Source organism: Homo sapiens, chromosome 19 (genome assembly GCF_000001405.40).
Source record: "Homo sapiens chromosome 19, GRCh38.p14 Primary Assembly".
In the NCBI taxonomy this organism is placed as follows: domain Eukaryota; kingdom Metazoa; phylum Chordata; class Mammalia; order Primates; family Hominidae; genus Homo; species Homo sapiens.
Window position 1 is genome coordinate 15,841,192 of NC_000019.10, and position 9,441 is coordinate 15,850,632.

Here is a 9,441-nt window from a genome sequence, read left to right on the forward strand (position 1 = left end):
CTGGCAGCTTTTTTTTTTTTTTTTTTTTTGAGATGGAGTCTTGCTCTGTCGCCCAGGCTGGAGTGCAGTGGCACCATCTCAGTTCACTGCAACCTCCACCTCCCGGGTTCAAGCGATTCTCCTGCCTCAGCCTCCTCAGTAGCTGAGACTACAGGCACGCGCCACCACGCCTAGCTAACTTCTGTATTTTTAGTAGCGATAGGGTTTGGCCATTTTGGCCAGTCTGATCTCAAACTCCTGACCTCAGGGATCTTACTGCCTCAGCCTCCCAAAGTGCTGGGATTACAGGCATGAGCCACCGCACCCGGCCAAAACAAGTATAACTAATTTATACATTCTATTACTTGATGTGTTTTTTACCCTCTGGATGCTGCTATCATTTTTCTTTCTTTCTTTCTTTCTTTTTCTTTTTTTTTTGTTTTTGAGACATAGGCTCGCTCTGTCACCCAGGCTGGAGTGCAGTGATGTTATCGTGGCTCACTGCAACCTCCGCCTCCCAAGTTCAAGTGATTCTCATGCCTCAGCCTCCCGAGTAGCTGGGATTACAGGCGCCCGCCACCACGCCTAGCTGATTTTTGTATTTTTAGTAGAGACGGGGTTTCACCATATTGGACAGGCTGGTATTGAACTCCTGACCTCAAGTGATCCACCCGCCTGGGCCTCCCAAAATGCTGGGATTACAGGCGTGAGACACCGTGCCTGGCCAGAGAAAAGTATTTTGTTGCTGCTTCTGGGTGCCCAGAGAAATGAGACATGGGGCTGGGTTCACAGGAAACGAGGTGAGTTGTGAGACAGGGGCTGGGGTGGGGACACTAAGGTGGCAGTTCAGCTGCATCTTGCGGCCCTACCTGGTGGGGGCGCTGTGACCCTGGACCAGCAGCTTGGCCTCTCTGGACCTCATTTTCCATTTTGTAAAGTGGGCCTGGATTATTCCAGTAAGAGACACACTATGTGTGAGGATGCTGGCCCAGAGTAGGTGCTTGGTTGGGGTGAACGCCCCTTCGTCTTTCCCCATTTCATTTTTCTCTTGAACTGTGCACATTATTCCTTCATTTGTCCCACAAATATTTGTTGAGCGCCTGCTATGTACGCAGCAGTGGGTGGCAAATAAGCAAAAAGTCCCTTTGAACCTCAGCCTTGTGGCTCCACTCAGCTTTTCTCCCAGGCAGGACCCTTGCATTTCTGAATCTCTCCACTGGGCTTCACCCAGGGATGATCAAAAAATATGAGTTCCAGAAGATACATTCCCCACACGAGCATCAGCCCTTCCTTTGCACCAGAACCTGTGCTCACAGCTGCAAAGAGGCGTGGATGAGACCCATCCCTCCCTCAAGAAACATCTTCTCCATCTACTTCCCTTCACTGCACCCTGCCCTTGAGTCAGGGACTATGATACGATTTTCCTCATTTATTCAATCTGATCCCAAATACATTTATCCGATCCCAAACACATGAAATCTGGCAGATGCTCATTTTTAAATTGACAAAGAAAATATGCACATGGGCCAAGGGCAGTGGTTCACACCTGTAATCCCAGCACTTTGGGAGGCCCAGGCAGGCAGATCACTTGAGGCCAGGAGTTCGAGATCAGCCTGGGCAACATGGCGAAACCCCATCTCTACTAAAAATACAAAAATTAGCCAGGCATGGTGGTGCACGCCTCCTAGCTACTTGGGAGGCTGAGGCACGAGAATCACTTGAATCCAGGAGGCTGAGGTTGCAATGAGCCAAGATCACGCCACTACACTCCAGCCTGGGTGACAGAGCGACACTCTGTTTCTAAATGAATGAATGAATAAATAAATAAAATATCCATGTGGCTAGCCAGTTAACCCAGTGCCATTTATCGAATATGTCAACTTAAAAAAGAGTATCTGCCAGATTTCATGTGTTTGGGATCAGATACATGAAATAAGTGTATTTTATTGGAAATAAAAATATATTTATTTATTTGTATATATTTATGCTGCACAACACATTTGGATATATGTATACATAGTGGAATGGCTCCATCAAGCCAGTTAATATATGCATTACCTCACACATTTATCATTTCGTTTGGTGGTGAGAATGCTTAAAATCTACTCTCAATAATTTTCAAATATACAATAGGTTGTTATAACTATAGTCACCATCATGTACACTAGATCTCTTGGTCCTCCTGCCTAACTGAAATTGTGTGTGCTTTGATCAACATCAAAAAGATGAACGATAACAAGTGTTGGCAAGAAAGTGAAGAGATCATGTTAAAACCCTCAACAAATAAGGCATTAAAGGAACATACCTGAAAATAATAAGAGCCGTCTATGGTCAACCCACAGCCAACATCATACTGAATGAGCAAAAGCTGGAAGTATTCCCTTTGAGAACCAGAATAAGACAAGGATACCCACTCTTATCACTCCTATTCGACATAGTACTAAAAGTCCTAGCCAGAGCAATCAGGCAAGAGAAAGAAATAAAAGACATCCAAATAGGAAGAGAGGAAGTCAAACTATCTCTGTTTGCAGATGATACGATTTTATACTTAGAAAACTCCATAGTCTCTGCCCAAAAGCTCCTCAATCTGATAAACAACTGGTAAAGTTTCAGAATAAAAACCAATGTGCAAAAACTCAATAGGATTTCTATAAACCAACAATGTCCAAGCTGAGTGCCAAATCAAAAACACCATCTCATTCACAATAGCCACACAAAAAAATAAAATACTGAGGAATACAGCTAACAGGGAAGGTGAAATATCTGCCTGTGGTCCCAGCTGCTTAGGAGGCTGAGGCAGGAAGATCACTTGAGCCTGGAAAGTCAAGGCTGCAGTGAGCTGTGATTGCGCCACCGCACTCCAGGCTGGGAATGGACTGAGAGCTTGTCTTTTTTTTTTTTTTTTTTTTTTTGAGCTAGAGTTTCGCTCTTGTTGCCAAGGCTGGAGTGCAATGGCGTGATCTCGGCTCACTGCAACCTCCACCTACCGAGTTCAAGTGATTTTCCTGCCTCAGCCTCTCGAGTAGCTGGGGTTACAGGCGCACACAACCACGCCTGGCTAGTTTTTTGTATTTTTAGTAGAAACGGAGTCTCACCATGTTGGCCAGGCTGGTCTCGAACTCCTGACCTCAGGTGATCCACCTGCCTCAGCCTCCCAAAGTGCCAGGATTACGCGTGAGCCACCCCACCCAGCCTCTAAATTAAAAAAAAAAAAAAAAAACAAGTTATAAAAGCTCCAGGCACAGTGGTTCACACCCATAATCCCAGCACTTTGGGAGGCCAAGATGGGAGGATCACTTGAGTTCAGGAGTTCAAGACCAGCCTGGGCAACATGGTAAGACCCCAACTTTACAAAAAATTTTTTTTCAATTAAAGAAAAACATCTTGCTAAAGAGGTCTCCTCTTCCTGAGATAAACGGCTGCTTGACAGTAAATAGAGGCAGGAAACCTCATGTTTGATCTGCTGCTTGATAACAAGAAGACATCAAAACCACCACAGTAGCTGCTTAAGATGATAAAAATGACCATCCTCAGTACATAAAGACTGTGCATGAAATAACTTATCTCCAGCTTAGAGGAAGTTCCGCCCCAGCTACCACACATTTAACAGATCTTCCCAGAACATCTGAGCTCATCACTGAGCCAGGAGCTGGGATGACTGCAGTGGCCAGGGCAGACATGATACCTGCTCTTGTGGACTTTACACTGGACGGAGAAGGTGGAGGATGAATTATTGGCTGAGTTTTAGAAAAGAGCATGAGGAGTGTGAGGAAGAGATGGCAGTGGCTATGGGGGATGAACAACCTCATCCTCAGAAATCAGGACACCTGGTTGGGACTTCGGGGAGGAGATGGCATTTCAGCCAAGACATTCTGCTCCAGGAGCAGAGGGAGAGGAAAGGGTGCACCAGGCAGAGGGAAGAGCATGTTCCAACGACCCGAGGTGGGAAGATGATTGCCCATCCAAGGAAAAGAAGAAAGACAATATGGGCCGGGTGTGATGGCTCATGCCTGTAATCCCAGCACTTTGGGAGGCCGAGATGGGTGGATCACTTGAGGTCAGGAGTTCAAGACCAGCCTGGCCAACATGATGAAATTCTGTCTCTATTAAAAATAGGAAAATTAGCCAGGCATGTTAATGCACACCTGTAATCCCAGCTACTCAGGAGGCTGAGGCAGGAGAATTGCTTGAACCCAGGGGGCAGAGGTTGCAGTGAGCTGAGATTGTGCCACTGCACTCCAGCCTGGGCGACAGAGTGAGACTCCATCTCAAGAAGGAGAAGAAGAAGGAGAAGGAGAAGGAGAAGGAGAGGAAGGGGAAGGGGAAGGGGAAGGGGAAGGAGAAGGAGAAGGAGAAGGAGAAAGAGAAGGAGAAAGAGAAGGAGAAGGAGAAGAAGAAGGAGAAGCAGAAGGAGAAGAAGAGGAAGAAGAGGGAGAAGGAAGAAGGAGGAGGATGAGAAGAAGAAGGAGAAGAAAGCCAATATGGGCCGGGCACAGTTGCTCACACCCGTAATCCCAGCACTTTGGGAGGCTGAGGTGGGTGGAACACTTGAGCCCAGGGGTTCGAGACCAGCCTGGCCAACATGGTGTAACTCCGTCTCCACTGAAAGTAGGACAATTAGCCCGGTGTGGTGATGCATGCCTGTAATCCCAGCTACTCAGGAGGCTGAGGCAGGAGAATCTCTTGAACCCAGGAGGCGGAGGTTACAGTGATCTGAGATCATCCAACCTAGGCAATAGAGCAAGACTCCATCTCAAAAAAGAAAAAAAGAAGAAGGAGAAGAGGAAGAAAGAAAGACAGACAAACAATATGACAGGGGCCTTGGGCAGCAAGGAGTGGGGAGTGGCTCATGGAGCCAAAATAGACAGTCAGGGGTCTGATTTCAAAGGGTCCCAACAGCCCCAAGATTACACTCATCTACACGGGTGATACTGTCTGTCCATGATAAACACAGAAGGAACAGTGGGTTCAAATGAGGTCAATCACACCTGGAAAATGAATTTCAAATAAACTCAGGAATAGCCATTCACATTTCAAAAGGATTTTGCAACTCACAAATCTCCATAGCATTGGAATGAGAGAGTCATTTGCTTGTTTTCTCAGCAAGTATTTATTGAGCACCTATTAGATGCTGGGTGGTGGGACACAATGATGAGCGAGTCCAAAGTGGTCCTGCCTCCTCAGGTGGCCAGTCTAGTGGAAGGAACAAGGGATATGTCTATTAAGTAACTTATATGACATAATGCAGTTAGCATTACAGTAGAAGTAGAAGCCTCGGCCCCTCTCAGAGCTCTGGAAACCTTCCCCTCCATCTACTCCAGCAGCATGGGAAGTTCACGGGGGCCACAGCTGGCACCAAGTGTTTTCCACGCTTTGCTTCTGAGGGCCAAGATGCCATGGTGCTTTCTGTAGCATTTAACTGTGTGGAGCTCTGGGACTCTTGTGTCTTGGGGGAAGAAAGGACCACTTTTTTTTTTTTTTTTTTTTTGACAGAATCTTGCTCTGTCTTGCCCAGGCTGGAGTTCAGCGAATGATCTCGGCTCACTGCAGCCTCCGCCTCCTAGGTGCAAGTGATTCTCCTACCTCAGCCTCTTGAGTAGCTGGGATTACAGGCGCCTGCCACCACACCCGACTAATTTTTGTATTTTTAGTAGAGATGGGGTTTCACCATGTTGGCCAGGCTGGTCTTGAACTCCTGACTTCAGGTGATCCACCCGCCTCGGCCTCCCAATGTGCTAGGATTACAGGCATGAGCCACTGCGCCCAGCTGAAGGACCACTTCTAATTCCTACCTATGTCTCTTGCTGCTAATTAAACATCTAAGTTTAGAGGCTAAGGGGGATACTACCTGGGGACCATTCCTCCGGACTGGAGTGAGCCTGTGTTTCTGTCTTCATCTTAGCCCCGAGCTATGGATCAAACCTCGGCTGCCTGCAGCTCTGTGGTTGATCCTGAGGGACTCCTTCATTTACACAAATGAAGTGTAGATAAGAATTGTGTGTCAACTTTTAATGAGCCCTCAAGGGTCATTGAAAAATCCCATGGCTAGTTCACTGATGAAACTTAGAATTGGCTTCCCAGGGATTGTTATGACAATAGAGTTTGGTAGATCGTGCCGGCAGGTGTTCCACTGGGCTGTTTGATGCCACTCAAGGCTCTAGCCAAGCGCATCTCTGATGTGTCCTCCAGGAAGGGTGTCCAGGGGCTTTGACTGATGAGCACGGGGAGTTTTGGAGGAGGGCTGGAGGTGGCGGGTTCAGATGAATTCTACTAATTGCTTGGTATATGGACCCCATGACATCACTTCAACTGAATTCTCTGGGAGTTTGTTTTTGTTTGTTTGTTTTCTGTTTTTTTGTTTTTTTTTTTTTTTGAGATGGAGTCTCACTCTGTCACCCAGGTTGGAATGCAGTGGCACAATCTTGGTTCACTGCAACCACTGCCTCCAGGGTTCAAGTGATTCTTCGGCCTCAGCCTCCTGAGTAGCTGCGATTACGGGCACTTGCTACCACACCCAGCTAATTTTTGTATTTTTAGTAGAGATGGCATTTTGCCATGTTGGCCAGGCTGGTCTTGAACTCCTCAACTTAAGTGATCCTCCCACCTCGGCCTCCCAAAGTGCTGGGATTACAGGCATGAACCACTGCACCCAGCCATTGTTTTCTTTGTTTCAGCAGAGATCCACTGGACGTATGAATTGTGGATTTCTCTTTGGGTTCTTAAACACAGATTAACAGGCAGAGGGTGACTTGTATAATAGTCTAAGTGGCTTCATGCCTCAGGACCCTGGCTCACATCAGATAAACTTGACTCGAATCCTGGCCTACCTATTTCCTGGTTGTGTGACCTTAGTGAAGTGAATTGACCTCTCTGAACCTGTGTCTGCAAATGGGGAGGCCAATAATAATAGCACCTGCCCCACAGCATGATGCCTGTAAACGTATTGGCATTTCATAAATCCTCAATACGTGCTAGACAGTATGATTGTGTCACCCAGTAGAGTCTTGTAGGGATCTGGGTACAACTGATGGAGCCAGCTCATGGCTTTACTTACCTCACCCCCACGCCTTTAAAACTCATCTATTCATGCCTGTATTAAGGATTTATTCAACACTTTTTGTGTTCCAGGCTGTAGGAACCAAACCTTGTCTGCCTGCAGCTCAAACAAGAGAACAAGCAAGATGAGATCCTCTGCCCTCCTGGTGTTTTTTTTGTTCTCGTGGGGAGAAAATGTATTAAAATATGAGTTACTGCATCAGACATATAAAATAATAATTTCAAGAAAATGGATCTGTGATTGTAAATATTGGGTCAAATTTAGCATCAGAGTAAACAAATAAATGGATATTATGTCACAATCAGGGCGGACTGTAATTAAATGACTTTCTAGAGTGCGGCTGCATCCCCATGAAGCTCAGACCCCATTGTTGCCTTTTTATTTTATTTTATTTTATTTATTTATTTTTGAGACAGAGCCTGTTGCCCAGGCTGGAGTGCAATGGCGTGATCTCAGCTCACTGCAGCCTCTGCCTCCTGGGTTCAAGCGATTCTCCTGCTTCAGCCTCCCGAGTAGCTGGGATTACAGGCGCCTGCCATCACGCCTGGCTAATTTTTTATATTTTTAGTAGAGATGGGGTTTTACCATGTTGGCCAGGCTGGTCTCAAACTCTTGGCCTCAGCCTCCCAAAGAGCTGAGATTACAGGCGTGAGCTGCCACTCCCGATCTGGTCTTGATTTCTCTTTTTTTAAGGACACTAACCCCACTGGGCGACCCTACTTTCTTGGCTTAATCTTAACCTAATTACATTCCAAAGGCCCCATCTCCAAGTATTATCACATGGGGGGTTAGGGCTTCAACACATGAATTTTTGGGGATACACACATTCAGCTCATAACCCTGATCTGAAGCTAAGTTTCTGAACCAGGAGCAAGAAACTACTCTTAGTTTCTGATAGCTTGTCTCCATGACCCTGGAAGAAAAATCAAACATTATGTTTCTTTTCTCTGCAGCAAGGATGCAGGCATCTATCTCATTCCCACACAGTTCCAGGTTCAGTTCCCTTGCAGTCCTAAGGTTCAGGGCAGTGAGAGCAAGAACCAGACCAGGTTCCTATTTGACCTAATTCCTTTTTTTTTTTTTTTCCTTTTTTTGAGACAAGGTCTACTCCGTCACCCAGGCTGGGGTGCAGTGTTATGGTACGATCAAGGCTCACTGCAGCCTCAAAGTCCTGGCCTCAAGCAACCCTCCTGCCTCTGCCTCCTGAGTACCTGGGAGTACAGGTGAGTGCCACCATGCCTGGATAACTTTAGTATTTTATTTTATATTTTATTTTATTTATAGAGATGGGGTTTCACCATGTTTCCCAGGCTGGTTTTGAACTCCTGGGCTCAAGCGACCTGCCCGCCTCGGCTTTTCAAAGTCCTGGGATTACAGGCATGAGCCACTGACCATGGCCTAATCCAAAATGATATTTGTTGGGGAAGAAGTGTTCCTACGGATCGTGACCTTGTTATGCCATGACTGTTTGGCTGTGAGTGATATTCCTGTAAATATGTGAGTTTGAGCCAGGTTCAAGGAACGATCATGCCTAATTCTTTTTTATTCTTTCAATAAATATTTATTGAGCAAGTATTCTGATGGGTTTGAACTGGGCTTGGATGCAGCAACAGGACTGGGAGGATCACATCCCTTAGCCAGTTCCTCACATTGATCCACCATTGCCTCACAGACTTTGGTCTTTTACTGCCTTAATAATTTTCACTAAGAACCATCTGCACTATGACGTGTTTCTCTCGATGGACTCACTCTTTTTTTTTTTTTTTTTTTTTGAGACAAGGTGTTTGTTGCCCAGGCTGGAGTGCAATGGCACAATCTCAGTTCACTGCAACCTCTACCTCTGGGTTCAAGTGATCCTCCTGCCTCAGCCTCCTGAGTAGCTGGAATTACAGGCACGTGCCACCATGCCAAGCTAATTTTTGTATTTTTAGTAGAGACGGGGTTTCACCATGTTGGCTAGGCTGGTCTCAAACTCCTGGCCTCAAGCAATTCACCTGCTTTGGCCTCCCAAAGTGCTGGGATTACAGGCATGAGCCACTGCACCTGGCCAAAGCTGCCACTTTTAAACCATCAGATCTCATGAGAACTCATTCACTATCATGAGAACAGCGTGGGGGAAACCACCCCCATGATCCAATCACCTCCCACCAGGTCCCTCCCTCCACGAGTGGGGATTACAGTTCGAGATGAGATTTGGGTGGGGACAGACAGCCAAACTATATCAGGACCTGAGGGCCTCAGCTATCTTTTTCCTGAAAGCTTCAGGCTAATTGCATCAGAAGAAAGCCTCTGATCTGGGTGTTTAGTGAAATAGAAGTTGGTCCCCTGTATTGGTCAACCTAGGTTTGGAATGCTGCAGTAACAAGTAGTGACCTTGAAATTTTAGCAACCATAAACCAAAACTA